Source organism: Homo sapiens, chromosome 8 (genome assembly GCF_000001405.40).
Source record: "Homo sapiens chromosome 8, GRCh38.p14 Primary Assembly".
NCBI classification, from domain to species: Eukaryota; Metazoa; Chordata; class Mammalia; order Primates; family Hominidae; genus Homo; species Homo sapiens.
This window is the reverse complement of record NC_000008.11, coordinates 30,300,884-30,319,319: the sequence shown is the minus strand read 5'-3', so window position 1 is coordinate 30,319,319 and position 18,436 is coordinate 30,300,884.

Sequence of the window (18,436 nt, the reverse complement as noted above, 5' to 3'; positions counted from 1 at the left end):
GATTGTACCTCTAGTTGTCTGTAGTTCACCACCACATCACTCTGTAAACACTTCTGACCAGTCCTGGGAAAACAGCTGAAAATGGAATTCCCATGCACAGTGGGTCAATAGAACTAACTTAGCATCTGACAAGCAGATAATTCCATTTTTACCATATGCCTTTCCCTCAGAGCCTTACGAATCAGCAAAACTATGTCCCCCGGTAGAAGCATAAACCCGTTTAAGTTGCTGGAAGTCAAATTGGAGGGTCATAGAAAAAGAGACCATTAGTTGTTCATGTGATAGAATCTTTTGTGCTTTGCTTACACACTTCTAGCAGTGTGGATCCCATGGCCTCTTTTGAACAACCCGGATCCTCATCTTGACTTAAACTCTGCTTCTCCATAACTTCTGTACACAAGTCTTGGTGCTCGTGTACCATGAGTTGGTGCCCCAAACAAGCCTAACCTTCCACACGAATCCTTCCCAAGGGCTACAGAGAAGCTTCTTGGGTCTCCAAGAGGTTTCTCTGCTGTAGGCTAGACATCCTCAAGTCTTTTCAAGATTTTTTTCATGGTCTTTAGTCACTATCCTCCTTGAAGTGAGCCCTAGTTTGTCAGTCTTCCCTGAAATATGGTGCCTACAACTATACGTACTGTTCGAGACGTGGCCTAGTGGGCATAGGCCAGATGTTTTGAAAGCTGTATTATTATTATTATTATTTTTGCGACAGCTTGTTTTGAAACTTGTTTTTTTTTTTTTTTTTTGGAGACGGTGTCTACTTCTATTGTCCAGGCTGGAGTGCAATGGCGCAATCATAGCTCACTGCAGCCTCAAATTCCTGGGCTCAAGCCATCCTCCCACCTTGGCCTCCCAAGTGCTGTGTTTCTGTTACGTAGATGAACACTGAGTGGGCTGTTCTTGCAGACACATTACACTGCAGATGCACGCTGACCTTTCAGATGAGGAAATCCCCTCACCACTCACCATGAGCAAAAGGAGATGATGGATCTTTTTTCCACTATCTTGCTCCACACCAAAAGTTAGTACTTTCATGGTACTGTGAACTTTAGAAGAAAAAACAATGCTATAAATCTAGAGTACCAGCTATTTGCAGCACCGTGTTCATTTCTGATCCTTATCAATGAGCATGCCGACTGATTTATATTTGTAGCCCAAGCATACTTTTTTTTGCATTCTTTTCTCTTAACATCTTTTGCATGCACTTTGATCCATCCACAGAATCTGTAAACTTAATTCCTTTTAATAGCAACATAACATTCCATTGTCTTAAAGTACCATCGTTTGCATAACCTTTTCCCAATTTTGGGCATTGGGTCATGTCCCATGTTTCCACTGTTATGAACGGTGTTACCATAAACAGCTTTGTGCCGTTTGCTTTCTTTTCTCTTCTGCATGTTTCCTTGGGGTATATTCCAAAAGCAAGATGATTGGGTCAAAGGATAGGAACAATTTTATAGCTCTTTTCATATATTGCCAGACTGATTTCGAGGGGATGGATACTTTTTGAGAGCACCAAATAAGACAATGCAGGCCTGCAGAAGTTGTAGTTTAACTGGAAAAGCTGGGCCTGTGTGTGGCATCAGATCCCTTCTAAGTGACCCTTTCTGAGTCTTCTACTGTTAGCTCCAGTTATCTCAATGGGTGGAGAAAACCAGCACCCTCAGTAAACCTCTCTAAAAATACCCAGAAATGCAACTTGCTTCCTTTTCATGAGAGGATTTTTATCTCTGAGATGGAGTTGCATGGCCTGACCTGGGTCCTAAGCCCAGATTTGCCACCTCCTTGCTGTGTGCCCTTAGGCAAGTTACCTAACCTCTCTGAGCCTGATTCCTTCCTTATCTGTAAATGAGGTTCGCTAGCACTGCACTGTTATTGTTACTTATGAGCCACCTAGTGTGTGGGGATTGACCACGTGTTTCTTCCTTCTCCTTTGTACAACCAGCATCCAGCTCTGTGCCGCCCCATGCTTAGGGGTAATAAATGTCTGTTGTGGACTGGACAGATTGTCTTTTTCCATGATCTTGCTTCAGTGTTTAGGAATTAGAAAAACAGAAAAGTTTCTGGGCCAGGAGCAGTGGCTCACACCTGTAATCCCAGCACTTTCGGATGCCAAGGCAGGAGGATCGCTTGAGCCCAGGAATTTGAGACCAGCATGGGCAACATAGCGAAACCATATCTCTACCAAAAAATTTTTTTTTAAATTAGCTGGGCATATTGGGGCTCACCTGTAGTCTCAGCTACCCAAGAGGCTTAGGCAGGAGGATCACTTGAGCCCAGCTGGTCGAGGCAGCAGTGAGCTATGATGAAAAGAAAAAGAAAAAGAAAAGAAAAGGAGAGGAGAGGAGAGGAAAGAAGAGAAGAGAGAAGAGGAGTTTCTGAACTTGCACATGCACTTGAGTGTTGGTAGGATGTGCCAGGTCCAAGCCTAATCTGTTGCTGCAGGAAGAGCAGCTCCAGTTTTCAAGACCTCCAAAGGGGCTGGGCGCGGTGGCTCACGCCTGTAATCCCAGCACTTTGGGAGGCCGAGGCGGGCGGATCATGAGGTCAGGAGATCGAGACCATCCTAGCTAACACGGTGAAACCCCGTCTCTACTAAAAATAGAAAACATTAGCCGGGCGCAGTGGCGGGCGCCTGTAGTTCCAGCTACTCGGGAGGCTGAGGCAGGAGAATGGCGTGAACCTGGGAGGTGGAGCTTGCAGTGAGCCGAGATCACACCACTGCACTCCAGCCTGGGCGACACAGGAAGACTCCATCTCAAAAAAAAAAAAAAAAGACCTCCAAAGCTATAAAAGGTTTGTAGAAGAGAGGGACTAGAAGCTTAGGGGGACAGATCAGAGAAAGTGGTTCCTTACAGAGAAAGCTGTTCCCAGAAGGCCCTGGGTCTCCAGGTCTCCAGGGATGTTTGCAACATCCTCTAAGAGGGCTTGGGAGGATGTGTTTAAGACCTGCCTGGCATCTCTCTGGTCTCCTTCCTGCTGCGGAAGAAGGATCTGGAGAAGTGAAACGATGTATGTGCAGGTGGTCCACAACTGCTAAGTAAAATTCCTTCTGCTCTGCAATGTTCCAGGCTAATGACGGCCACAGTTTCATACTACTTCTCTCATTGAGAAATGGCACCTAATGCTCCTGCTGTTGGAGCTGGGCTGTTCTTAGTGACTTCCTAGACCAGTCAAATGCTACAGAAGTGACATTCTAGAACCTCTGAGGAGAGGACATAAAGAAGCTTTGCAGCTTCTACCCAGGTCTCTTACAACACCTTTTCCGGGAGCCCTAGGCCACCAGTCTAGGCCACCTAGACTACCCTGAGACTGCCATGGCACAGAGGCCCTGGGAACGTGCTCTGGTCGGTGGTTCCAACTAGTCCCACTGAGGCTCTAGAGATGTGAGCGGAGCCATGCTGGATACTGCAGAGGAGGCAGTCGGCTTGTTGAACACCACTGCCTGACCCCAGCTGATACCATGCACAGCAGAAAAATGGTCTGATTGAACTCTGGAATTCCTGACTCACAAAGTCATGAGCTACAATGCTGTTGATTTAACCCACTAGGTTCTGGGCCATCGATTACGCAGCAAAAGATAACTAAACGCCAGGGCTACCTAGGCTGTGCAGAGCCTCTGCTGGGCTGCATTTCCGTCACTCAGCTCTGCTTAGCGGAACCAACACTGGGAATTGTGATTTCTCTTCTTATTGTTTGAAGTAAATATCAGAGGCCATGCAGAAGTCATTGACGTCAGTTATTCTATTGGACAGGATTCCCCAAATGTATTTTTGGACTAGAGTCTATTATTTATGATCCCTTGTTGAATTTTACAGTCAGATAGGGCAGGAAGAGCTGGCAGAGTTCCAGAATCCTAGCTAAATGGATTTTTCTGTCGTATTTAAAGAGGAAATGGCGATGCAAAAATCCCTAGAGCTTTTCCTGTTAAAGCGAGCTCTCCAGTTACGTGTGGGGTGACTCTGTTCTATGGGAGTTCTGTCCTGAGAGCTCAAATCCTAAAATTTGAGGATCTGTTTATAGGCAGTCAGTACACCTTCTTTTTTTTTGAGATGGAGTCTCATCCTGTCGCCCAGGCTGGAGTGCAATGGCGTGATCTTGGCTCACTGCAATCTCCGCCTTCCAGGTTCAAGTGATTCTCCTGCCTCAGACTCCCAAATAGCTGGGATTACAGGTGCCTGCCACCATGCCCAGCTAATTTTTGTATATTTTTGTAGAGACAGGTTTCACCATGTTGGCCAGGCTGGTCTCAAAATCCTGGCCTCAAATGATCCACCCACCTCTGCCTCCCAAAGTCCTGGGATTACAGGTGTGAGCCACTGCATGCAGCCTAGTACACCTTCTTGACAAATTTCATTACTCTTCAGGTAAGCAAGGAGATTGTATTTAAGTTTATTTGAATTTTAGTTAACTATTCCAGAAGGTTAAAAATGTGCCTTCCCTCGCTAATGTTTCCAGGTATCACCTGGTGACTATTATCAGGACCTCGACATACAAGAGAATCCAAAATGGTGAAATAACTGACTTACCAGTTTTCAGCTTTCTGTGTTATGACATGTCAATTATTAACTAGGAAACTAATCATTAAAGGCATTAACAAAATTGGTCTCGTTGGGTCACATTGCTCCTTACACAATGGGGCTGGTTAACATTTGGACTTTCGTCGCTTCCCTAGCGACCTTGTCTCTCTCTTCTGTGTATTTTTAAGGGAGTCCACTCTTTTATTCCCATTTACTTTCATGGATGTGCTAGTGACTGCTAGAGACATCAAAACTTGCCCGGGTACAGTGGCTCATGCCTGTAATTCTAGCACTTTGGGAGGCTGAGGTGGTAGAGTTGTTTGAAGCCAAGAGTTTGAGACCAGCCTGGGTAACAAAGCAAGACCCTGTCTCTACAAAAAATAAAAAAAATTATCTGGGTGTGGTGGCACGTGCCTGTAGTCCTAGCTTCTCAGAAGGCTGAAGCAGGAGCATCATTGAGCCCAGTGCTGCTGTAAGCCGTGATCATACCACTATACTCCATCCTGGGCAACACGAGGCTCTGTCTCAAAAAATAAAAAACAGGCCAGGCATGGTGGCTCACACCTGTAATCCCAGCACTTTGGAAGGTCGAGGCAGGCAGATTACCTGAGGTCGGGAGTTCGAGATCAGCCTGGCCAACATAATAAAACCCCATCTCTACTAAAAATATAAAAATTAGCTGGATGTGGTGGCATGTGCCTGTAGTCCCAGCTACTTGGGAGGCTGAGACAGGAGGATCACTTGAACCTGGGAGCCGGAAGTTGCAGTGAGCCGAGATCGTGCCACTGCACTCAAGCCTGGGTGACAGAGCAAGACTCTGTCTCAAAATAAATAAATAAATAAAAATAAATAAAAATAAAAAACAAACAAACAAAACCTAAAGCTTCATCTTCACCTCAACTCTTCCAAGAAGATTTTCAAACCTTAGTGCTTCTATATTGATTCATTTCTTCCTCTTCATTCATTTATTTTTTTCCCCACCCATGCATTTATTTACTCATTCCATAAGCATTGGTTTGATGTTTAAGATGTGCCAGATACAGTGCTAGGCATCTTGGGTACAAGATGAACACAAGGCTCCGCTTTACAGGGGCTCATTCTTCTCAGTAGCTCCTCAATAAACAGAAAGCGACCCCTCCCTGAGAGGCCGTGCTAGGAATCCGTGTTGGAGAAACAGAAGCTCTGAGTGAAAAATGAACACAAGTCTGGATGGTAACAACACAGGAAGGAACCGAGGGCTATCTGCCTCTGCATCCTGGCCACATCGCTCTGCTCCTTTTTCTCCCGCCTTGCTCTCACTGGTCCCTCCACTGCACTTAGTCACATATTGATTCAAAGTTCGATGCTTCCAATGTTTGTGCTGAAAAAGTCCTTCTCTGAATTCTACTACACCAGTGTCTCCTTGCTTCAAGGCCGTGCTTTTCGGAGGATCCTACTGCAGTCACAGAGCATTCTCTACTAACCAATTATGGAAAAGCAGCAACTGTATTCCAATAAAAACAAAAGATGGCTCAGGAGAAATTTTAGTCCACAAAAGATGCCACAGCCCCAATCAGAGGGCAAGATAAGGCCCACCCTTGCCTTTGAAGCCAATAAGTTGGTTGGCACTGAAAGCTTGCTCAGGGGTACCCTTGTGTAAGGAGGCTGGAGGTCCTGAAGCCCAAAACATGACTGCACTGTGAGCAGGCCTTGGAGACCTCGGGACAGAAGAATAGTCTGAAACCCAGCTGATTCAGTAGCATCAAGGGCATTACCATTAACTCCACCCCTCACCCAGCCTCTTATTTAATGATGATTCATCCTTTCTTTAGAGCATTTATTAGTCCTTTCTCACACTGCTATAAAGATACTACCTGAGTAATTTATAAAGAAAGGAGGTATATTAGTTCATTTTCATGCTGCTGATAAAGACATACCTGAAACTGGTAACAAGAAGAGGTTTAATTGGATTTACAGTTTCACATGGCTGGGGAGGTCTCAGAATCATGGTGGGAGGCAAAAGGCACTTCTTACATGGCGGTGGCCAGAGAAAAATGAGGAAGAAGCAAAAGTGGAAACCCCTGATTAACCCATCAGATCTTGTGAGACTTATTCACTATCACAAGAATAGCACAGGAAAGACTGGCCCCCATGATTCAATTACCTCCCCCTGGGTTCCTCCCACAACACGTGGGAATTCTGGGAGCTACAATTCAAGTTGAGATTTGGGTGGGGACACAGCCAAGCCATATCAGGAGGATTAATTGGCTCACAGTTCCACATGGCCGGGGAGGCCTCAGGAAACTTACCATCAGGGTGGAAGGCGAAGGGGAAGCAAGGTACATCTAACATGGCAGCAGGAGAGAGCAAGCACAAGGGAAAATGGCACTTTTAAACCATCAAATTTCATGAGATCTCTCTCACTATTAGGGAGAGAGCATGGGGGAAACCACCCCCATGATCCAATCACCTCCTGCTAAGTCCCTCCCTCAACACATGGGGATTACAATTCAAGGTGAGATTTGGGTGGGGACACAGAGCCAAATCATATCAGAGTCCCTTTTCCCTTTTCCATTCTAAGCAGAGACAAGGCCAATCAAGGCCAGGTTTCCCAAAGAAAGGGGAAAGCTTGACCCACAGCCAGGCAAACAGAGTGGGGCAATAATTGAAGCGATTCCCAGAAGCAGTTACTAAAGAAGTTTTACATAGCAAAGCATTTACCATGACTCACTTTCAAACTGTGGTTCAGCAGCTCAGGACACATGAAGTTATACACACTGCAGCCTGGCAGATGAGAAAGTTAAAGCACAGAGAAATAAAGTCCCTGAGTTTCAGAATAGAGGCTAGAGGTCCCATCGGTCAGACCTGCTGGACACTCAGCCTGGGTGTCTGGTCTGAGTGGACTCTGAACCTGGGCTCCCCCTCTGCCCAGGTCCTTGGCTCATCTCTTAAGAAGCACTCAAACTTCCTTTCATCATGGATTTCTGGTCCTAATTTTTTGAAATAAGAGTCAGGTGTTCCAATGGAAGCAGCATTGCTGGTCCAGTCTGTGCTGGTGTCGAACTGCTCTCTCGCCCAATCCCAACTGAAGCTTCCACTTGTTTTTCTATCTCTCTTTGTGATGATGGCTGCCAGCTGTCTAGGGCTCCTTCACAACCTGTTCTCTACCCGATGTCCTGGACCCCATCCTACCACTCCCCAGAGCACACAAATGACATCTTCCTGCAGTGGTAACTTGAATCATCACAAATTGGTCTGAATCAAGTTGATTAAGAAATATTGGACTTGTAGAGTGAAAACAGCCTGTGCCTATTAAAAATCATGTTTTCAGTGAGAAAAAAGCAGAGTGTAAAATTGTACAACAGAACATAGACTTAAGAGATGACTTCGAAGAAATAACAATCTTTAATGGGTATGTTCCTAACAACAGTGTCAAAATGAAGCAAAACTGATAGAATTGCAAGGAGAAATAGATAAATTCACTATTATAGCTGGAGATTTCAAAACCCCTCTATTAGAAATGAACAGATCCAGCAGACATGAAAATAGTAAGGGCCCAGTTGAAGCGAACACCACCATCAATCATCTGAATATAATTGACATTGATAGACAGCAGAATACACATTCTTCTCAAGTTCATGTGGACCATTCACCAAGATAGATCACATTTTGAGTCATAGAACTCACCTTAAAAATTTAAAAGACTGCAAATCATACACTGCCCTCAGACCACAATGGAATTAAAACGGAAACTAATAACAGAAATATAGCTGGAAAATCCCAAAATACTTTGAGATTAAGCAGCACCCCTCTAAATAACATATAATTCAAAAAAGATATTTCAAGAGACATTTTAAAATATTTTGAACTAAGTAAAAATGAAAATACAGCTTATTAAAATATGTGAGATACAGCAAAGTCAGTTCTCAGAGGAAATGTTATAGCATTAAATGCATATATTAAGAAAGAAGAAAGATTAAAAATAAACGATCTAAACTTTCACCTTACAAAATTAGAAAAAAAAGTGGAAATTAAATACAAAGTAAGCAGAGAAAGGAAATAAAAATTGGGACAGAAATCCAGGAAATTGAAAATAGGAAATTAATAGAGAAAATCAACAAAACCGAAAGCTGATTCTTTGACACGATTGGTAAAATTAATATGCCTCTAACTAGGCTTAAAAAAAAAAAGAGAAAAGATACAAATTACTAATCTCAGCAAAGAAAGAGAGGACATCATTAGAGATCCCACAGACATTAAAAGTATAACAAAGGAATACTATGATCAACTCTATGCCCATAAATTTGATAGCATAGTTGAAATGAACCAATTCCTTGAAATTCGCAATCTGCCAAAACTTACACAAAAAGAAATAGACAATTTGAACAGGTTTAAATCTATTACATAAATTGAGTTCATAACTAAAAACCTTTCAAAACAGAAATCACCAGGCCCAAATGGGTTCACTGGTGAATTCTATCAAATATTTAAGGGAGAAATTATACCAATTCTCTACAACCTCATCCAGAAGATAAAACCCTAAGGAATGCTTCCTAACTTATTATACGAAGTCAGCATTTCCCTCCTACCAAAACCAGAGAAAGACATTACAAGAAAAGAAAACTATTAACTAATATCCCTCATGAATGTAGACGTAAAAATCCTCAACAAAATATTAGCAAGTGGAATCTAACAATGTATAAAAAGAATTATACACTACAACCAAGTGGGATTTATCCCAGCTATGCAAGGCTGGTTCAACATTTGAAAATCAATGAATATAATCCATCATATCAACAGGCTAAAGAGGCAAATCCATGATCATATCAATAGATATATACATATATATCTATATATATAGATAGATATCTATACATATATATCTATAGATAGATATATATCTATATATATAGATAGATATCTATCTATAGATAGACATCTATATCTATCTATAGATATATAGATAGATATATATAGATCATATCAATAGATATACAGAAAAAGCATTTGACAAAATCCAACACCCATTCATGATAAAAACTTTCAGCAAACAAAGAATAGAAAGGGAACTTTCTCAACTTGATAATGGATATGTATAAAGAACCTACAGCTAATATCATATTCAATGATGAGAAACTAAAAGCTTTCCTACTAAGATCAGGAAGAAGGAAAGAATATCTCACCACTCCTTTTCAATACTGTACTGGAAGTACTAGTGTCATAAGACAAGAGAGGGAAATAAAAGGTATACTGACTGAAAACAAAGAAATAAAATTGTCTTTGTGTGCAGATAATAAGATCATTGATACAGAAAATCCAAAAGAGTTGACAAAGAAACTCCTGGAACTGATAAGTAACTATAGCAAGGTTGAAGGATACAACATCAATATACAAAACTAAATCACTTTCCTATATACCAGCAATGAACAAGTGGAATTTGAAATTGAAAAGATAATTCCATTTACATTAGCACCATATTTATATTCAGGTATAAATCTAACAAAATATATAATATATAATATATATTATATATTTCCCATATATGTTTTTTGTTTTTTATAGATAGATAGATAGATAGATATAGATATGGGAAAACCACAAAACTCTGATAGAAAGTCTCAATATTGTCAAGATGTCAGTGCTTCCCAACTTGATCCATAGATTCAATGCAATCCCAGTAAAAATTCCAGCAGGTTATTTTGTGGATATTGAAAAACTGATTCTAAAGTATATATGGAGAGGGAAAAGACCCAGAATAACCAACATGCTATTGATGGAGAAGAACAAATTTAGACACTGAGACTACCCAATTTCAAGACTTACTATAAAGATAATATAATCAAGGCTGTGTGGTGTTGCTGAAAAATAGACAAACGGAGCAATGGAGCAGAATAGAGGGACCAGAAATAGATCACATAACTATGATCAACTGATCTTTGACAAAGGAGCAAAATAGTCTTTTCGACAAATGGTGCTGGAACAACTGGACATTCACATGCAAAAAAAAAATGAATCTAAACATAGACAATACATCCTTTGCAACAATTAACTCAAAATGGATCATAGACATAAATGTAAAACACAAAACTGCAAAACTCCTAGAAAGTAAGAGGGGAAAATCTAGATGACCTTGCGTTTGGCAATGACTTCTTAGATAAAACATCAAACACATGATCCATCAAAGAAAGAATTGATATGTTGAATATCATTAAAATTAAAAATTTCTGCTCTGTGAAAGCCACTGTCAAGAGATTGAGAAGAAAAGCCACAGACTGGGAGAAAAGATTTGCAAAAGGCATATATGATAAAGGACTGTTATCGAAAGTACACAAAAAACTCTTTAAACTGAACAATAAGAAAACAACCCAATTTAAAAAATGGGCCAAAGACCTTAACAGACACCTCACCAAAGACATACAGATGGAAAATAAGCATATGAAAATATGCTCCATGCCATATGTCACCAGGAAAAAGTAAATTAGAACAGCAATCAGATAGCACTACACACCTGTTAGAATGGCCAAAATCCAGAACACTGACAACTCTAAATGCTGGTGAGGATGTGGGGCACTAGGAACTGTCATTCATTGCTGGAGGCAAATGCAAAATGGTATAGCCACTTTGGAAGACATTGTGGCAGTCCCTCACAAAACTAGACATACTCTTACCATACCACTCAGGAACTGCACTCCTTGGTATTTACCCAAATGAGCTGAAAATTTATGTCCACACAAAAACCTGTACATGTATGTTCATAGCAGCTTTACTCATAATTGCTAAAACTTGGAAGCAGCCAAGTTGTCCTTCAGTAGGTAAATGGATAAACTGTGATGCATCCAGACAATGGAATATTATTCAGTGCTAAAAAGAAATGAGCTATCAAGTTATGAAAAGACATGGAGGAAACTTAAATCCATTTCAGAAGCCAATCTGTAAAGGCTACATACTATATGATTCCAACTATATGACACTTGGAAAAGGCAAATCTGTGGCAACAGTAAAAAGTTCAGTGGTTGCCAGCAGTCTGGGAGGAGGAAAGGACGAATAGACAGAGCATAGAGGATTTAGGGCAGTGAAACTTCTTGGTTTGTTACCATGTTGGTGGATATGTATCATTATACATTTGTGCAAATCTATAAAATGCACAACACCAGGAGTAAACCGTAACGCAACTATAGACTTTTGGTGATATGACGTGTCAATGCAAGTTCATTCATGTCATTGTGATATGACGTGTCAATGTAAGTTCATTCCCTCTGGTTTGGGAATGTTGATGATGGGGGAAGTTATGTATGTACATGGGGAATGGATGTATGAGAATTCTCAGTAGCTTCCATACAATTTGCTGTGAACCTAAAGCTGCTCTAAAAAATAAAGCTATTTAAAACAAACAGGCTGCGCCACGGTGGCTCATGCCTGTAATCCCAGCACTTAGGAGCCTGAGGCAGGCAGATCGTTTGAGCCCAGGATTTTGAGACCACGCAGGCAACATGGCTAAACCCTGTCTCTACCAAAAATACAAAAATTAGCCGGGCATGGTGGCACACACCTGTAGTCCCAGCTACTCGGAGGCTGAGGTGGGAGGATCACTTGATCCCAGGAGGCGGAGGTTGCGGTGAGCTGAGATTACACCACTGCACTCCAGCCTGGGTGACAGAGTGAGACAATAAAATAAGTAAATCAATCAAATAACCAAAGCAACAGCAAAAAGGAGGTGATCTGCATTCACGGATTCAACCAACCTCCGATCAAAAATATTCAGAAAAACAATTACGTTTGTACTGAACATGGACAGATTTTTTACTTGTCATAATATCCTAAATAATATAGTATAGCAACTATTTACATGGTATTTACATTGTATTAGACAATAGGAATAATCTAGAGATGATCTGAAGTATGCAGGAGGATGTATACAGTTTATATGGAAATACTGCACCAATTTATACGAGGGACTTCAGAATCTGTATTTTGGTATCCATGGGGGTCCTGGAACCAATCCTCTGCAGAGAATGAGGACAACTGTACTAAAATATTAATGGTTGCTATTTCTAGATGGTGGAATTATAGGTGGCTTTAATTTTATATTTTATGTTGTCATTTCTAAATTTTTTATAAAGAACATATATTACTTAGACATTTGGAACAACAACAACAACATCATTTATTTTTAAATAAAAGGAAATAAAAGAGCACAGACTTTGGGCTCAGAACTGAATTCAGTCCAGGCTCTACCTCTTACTAACACTGTGACCAGGCTAGGGACTTAGCCTTGAAAATCTCAGTTTTTGCATCTATAAAATGAGGAAAATAAAACCTACTCCACAGTGGGTTTTGTGGCATGAAGATAAAATTATACAAGGAGTATGAACGTGAAGGGCTCAGTGCAGATTGGTTTCTGAGCACTTAATCACATTTGGGTGCGTCTTGGTTCCCAGGAGACTTTGCCAGGCACACACAAGGCCTTTTTTTCATCCTTCTCCCTTTATCATCCTTCTGCTGAAACAACCAACCAGGCCTAGGTGGCCCATTTTTCACCTCCACCAAGCTCCTTTATTTTGGAGAAGAGAATGGAGCTCTAGAAAGGAAGCTGTAGGCCAGACACAGTGGCTCAGGCCTGTAATCTCAGCACTTTGGGAGGCCGAGGCCGGAAGATCATTTGGGGTCAGGAGTTCGAGACCAGCCTGACCAACATGGTGAAACCCCGTCTCTACCAAAAATACAAAATTAGCCAGGTGTGGTGGCACATACCTGTAGTCCCAGCTACTTGGGAAGCTGAGGCAGGAGAATCGCTTGAACCTGGGAGGCAGAGGTTGCAGTGAGCGGAGATTGCACCATTGCACTCCAGCCTGGGTGACAGAGAGAGACTCTCAAAAAAAAAAAAAAAAAGAATGGAGGCTGTAGTGTAGCAAATGCTTCTCCTGTGAAGCCCCCAGAACATGCCAGGCTCTGAAGTGGGCTGGTGTTTGTGGCTTTTCTCCCTCTGCTCTTCTTCGAGTCTGTTTCTATGTATCCTGTCCCTAGAGAGAAGCCAAGGGCACATGTCACCAGAAAATAGCTGCAAGGCCAGAGTCTTACACAAGGATTTGGATACGGAACAGGCTTGGACAGACAAGGAGGGGACTGTTGCAGACATGGGGCAGCGAGCAAGGACGCCCAGAGCCACAGGGAGGATAGGAACAAAGGACTGAGTCTCACAACAAGCCAGGCTAAGTCAAGCAGAACTGGAGGAGTCAGGAGGGGAAAACAGTCGGGCCCCTCCAGCTAAGAGTGAGATGTGGAGTGTGAGAGGAAGGTGAATGGAATGGAACAAAGGGGTTTTGCTGCTGCTTTAAAAATTCCTGTTAAATTTTATTTTAGATTCAGGAGGTACATGTGCATGTTTGTTACATGGGAACATTGCATACTGGTGGGACTGGGATTCCAGGGCACCCATTAGGACTTTGCTTCTTATACACAGTTTTTACTCTGAGCTATTTTGAACGTGGTGGAACAAAGCCTGTTTGGAAATGATTTTTCTCTGAGGCCAGGGCAGGATGGAGGGATGGGGGAGGCGTTTGGGGTGGGAGTGATGGCTCACAGCTCAGAGAGCACTCCAACTTGGAAATAAGTGGAGGCAGAAGGTCAGGGATGATTCCTTGGAAGTCCAAAGAGCTGCTTGCCTCCTGAGGGGAATTAACATGAGGAACACAGAGAACTCTTGAGGCTACAATGGTCCTTTCGTAATGCTGAAATAGATCAGTCGCTGCCAGGTTTCTAAAGGAAGATCCTTTTCATCCAAATTTTAATTATAGAGGCCGGATGCAGTGGCTCACACCTGTAATCCCAGCACTTTGGGAGGCCGAGGCGGGCAGATCACCTGAGGTCTGGAGATAGAGACCATCCTGGCCAACATGGTGAAACACCGTCTCTACTAAAAATACAAAAATTAGCTGGGTGTGGCGGTGCGCGCCTGTAGTCCCAGCTACTCAGGAGGCTGAGGCATAAGAATCTCTTGAACCTGGGAGGCGGCAGAGGTTGCAGTGAGCCTAGATTGGGCCACTACACTCCAGCCTGGGCAAGAGAGGGAGAGTCTGTCTCAAAAAATAAAATAAAATAAAATAAAATAAAATAAAATAAAATAAAATAAAATAAAATAAAGGGAAATTTGGACACAGAGACAGACATGGACAGAGGTAAGACCATGTGATGACACAGAAGGACACCTGTCCTCTACAAGCCAAAGAAAGCCTGAGGCTGCCAGGAGCTAGGAGAGAGACAGGGGACTGATTCTCCCTCATACCCTCAGGAGGAGCAAACCTGCCGAAACCTTGATTTTGGACTGCTGTGACACAATAAATGTCTGTTGTTTAAGCCACCTTGTTTGTGGTACTTTGTCACAGCAGCTCCAGGCAACCAACATACCTTCCTTGACCAGCATTATTGAAATCGTATGCGCTGTTTCCCTTCTCTTTTCCAGAGTACTTATTACCGCTAAACACGCTGTATATTAGACGATTTCTACAGTGTCCCACGCACTTGTTTGCAGTCTGGCTCCATGCACGGGAATGTAAGCACCATCAAAGTAGAGAAGTTTGTACATTTCCTTCCTGTATTCTCGGCTGCTAGATTTAGTACTGCCTTTGCATCCAGTCAAGCTTTAGGGGCCGTCTCTGGCCCTCACCTGCTGCTGCCCCATCTCTCTAGCTGAGAACTTTCTGTGGCCAAGTGGATGTACCACAGGAGCCCCACTCCCCACCCTGGACGACGTTCCAGGAACTCACTCCTTGCACTTACTTGCACAAATGGCCCCAAGCCAACCTCAGGGTCTCACGGGCCACTTCCTCAGGTCTACCCCCCTCTTAGCCTTTAGCCAAGGAGTATGGACAGAGCTTAGGTTGGTTGGCTGGGGTGTCCACACAGTTTGCACAAGGCCCCTCCTGGTATGAGATAAAGCAGAGGGCGGGATTGGGGGAGATGTGAAGGAGAATGCGCCGCGGGTCAGGGTCTCCATTTGTCCTCTTCCTCCATGACCACAAAAACTAGGGGATTATGGGTGGGCCTGACTCGTAGGATACCTGGCACATGGTGAACAACATGGACAAATAATCAAATACTCACATGTGTAAACACACAACTGCAAGCTGAGGCAGGGCCCGGTGGCATGCCTATAATCCCAGCACTTTGGGAGGTCAAGGCAGGTGGATTGCTTGAGCCCAGGAGTTTCAGACCAGCCTAGGCAACATAGGGAGGCCCCACCTCTACAAAATATAGAAAAATTAGCCAGGCATGGTGATACATGTCTGTAGTCCCAGCTACTCAGGAGGCTGAGGTGGGAGGATCACCTGAGCCCAGGAGGCTGAGGCTGCAGTGAGCTGTGATTGCACCACTGCACTCCAGCCTGAGTGACAGAGTAAAAAGACCCTGTCTCAAATAAATAAATAAATAAATAATAAATTGCAAGCTGGATGCTGTGGCTCGCATCTGTAATCCAGCTACCAGGGAGATTGAGGCAGAAGAATTGCTTGAGGCCCGGAGTTTGTGACCAGCCTGGGCAACATGGTAAGATTCTATCTCTAAAATAAATAAATAAATATATATATACATATATCAAAATAAAAAAATGGAGAATATGACAAATGCTGTAAAGGAGAGGCAAATGGTAGCATGTAAGTCCATAAAATTTGGTTTAAAAAATTCTTATATTATTCTATAATTGTTTTATGTGTATGGGTCTTGTTACTTAACAAAATGCTAAACTCCTTTTAATTGATCCAGTTCTAAGAATTGGATCTTAGAACTGAACTTAGAGTTGAATCTCCGTTGCGCTTGAGCAGCCAACAGATTCTCCAAAACTGCCTGCTGGGCTTGGGGGAAATAGTCTCTTCCATCTTTGTAATCTAAACCTTTCTCATTAAATATCCTAAAGTATAAAGAATGATTGTTCAAGTTCTGATTGAGTGTTTCCAATGGGTGGAAAAATCAGAGCTGAAGATAGATTTCCTGGTGTTATTTTGTGAGTCAGGTTGTAAATCTAAGTTCAGCCATCCCTACTCACTCCTACATCTTTTCCTGGAACTACCTCCTAGTTCAGTTCAGCAGCAGCATGGAGGAGGGTGTGAACCTGGCTTCAGAAAGTGGGTTGGGATCCGAGCCCTCTCGGATAAATGATTGGAGTATGGGTACCCTACACTCAGGGCGATCTAGCAAAGGATACTTGTTCTGTCTCATCTTAGTGTTCACTGAATTCTTTCTTCTTACATCCATATTTTTATGGCGCTTGTTACCTCCCAACATGGTACATATTTATTTGTATTGTCTGCCTCCTCTGACTAGAGTGTAAACATCCTGAGAGCAAGAACTTGTTTTGTTTCTAGAAACATTTTTACTGAAGTAAAGCAAAGATGCAGTGACTGCACAAATCATAAGTGAATGGCTTGATGCAGGTTTGCAATGTAAACACACCCATAGAATCAGCACCTGGTGATATGGAGTGAGACATTACCAGCCCCGCAGAGGCCCTTTCATGCCGCCCACCCGCAGCGGTGACTTTGCTTTGTGCATTGCTGTATTCCAGCACCTTCTTCAGAATCTGGCATACGATAGGTGTTTAATACTTCTTGTATAACTCCAACATTTTTTTATGCATACTTATTAGGTGCCCCGTCTGTGACAGGCACTGTTCAAAGTGCTGAATACACAAAGAGAAAGAAGATACTTTTTTTTTTTCTGTAAAGACTTCCTGGTTAGGGGAACTTCTGAGTTTGAGGACCCTCACAAGGCAATTGGGAAAACATGGACCTGGACCCCTGTGGAAAACGGGCAACTTTGAGTGACATTTGCAGCTGGAGAGAAGGAAGGAATGTACCCTGTGGCTCTGGAGAATTTCTCTGGGGTCTCAAGGTTGGGTATATGGTCAACTCTCTTGATGTAGGTGTTGTTGCAATATGGTTAATACTGACTTATCACATCTCATATTAAAAGTATTATACTTTTTGTGGTGGAGTTCTTTTTTTTTTTTGAGACAGGGTCTCACTCTGTTGCCCAGGCTGGAGTGCAGAGACACGATCACAGCTCACTGCAGCCTTGATCTCTTGATCTCCTGGGCTCAAGCGATTCTCCCACCTCAGTCTCCTGATTAGCTGGGTCTACAGGCATGTGCCTGCATGCCTAGCTAATTTTTAATTTTTTTTTTGCAGAGACCTGATCTCCCTATGTTGCCCAGGCTGGTCTTTAAGCTCTTCTATTAAGAACTTCAGCCCAAGAACTGGAGTTCTTAATAGAATCATTGAATGTTAAAAGCTGAAATGGGCCGGCACGGTGGCTCAAGCCTGTAATCTCAGCACTTCAGGAGGCCAAGTGGGGCAGATCACCTGAGGGTACAAGTTCGAGACCAGCATGGCCAACATGGTGAAACCCCTATCTCTACTAAAAATTAAAAATTAGCCAGACATGGTGGTACACGCCTGTAGTCCCAGTACTCTGGAGGCTGAGGCAGGAGAATCACTTGAATCTGGGAGGTGGAGGTTGCAGTGACCCAAGATCATGCCATTGCACTCTAGCCTGGATGACAGAGCAGAACTCTGTCTCAAAAAAAAAAAAAAAAAAGCTGAAAGGAGTCATTATTAATCATAATGTCTACACCCCAATTAAATTAGTTAGGATTCTTTTGGTTGCAAGTAACAAAAATCCAACCCAACCACCTCACACAATAAAGGAAAAAAATTACTGGCTCATATAACTGAGAAGTTCAGATATATGTTTCTCAATAATCTCGACACAATGATCCAGTTTACTTTCATATCTTTGTCTGCTTTCCAAGCTGCCTGTTGTATCTTAAGGTTGGCTTCTTTGTGGTCACAAGAAGACTGACAGCAACTTTGGGCTTTTTTTTTTTTTTTTTTTTTTGAGACAGAGTCTCCCTCTGTCACCCAGGCTGGAGTGCAGTGGCACGATCT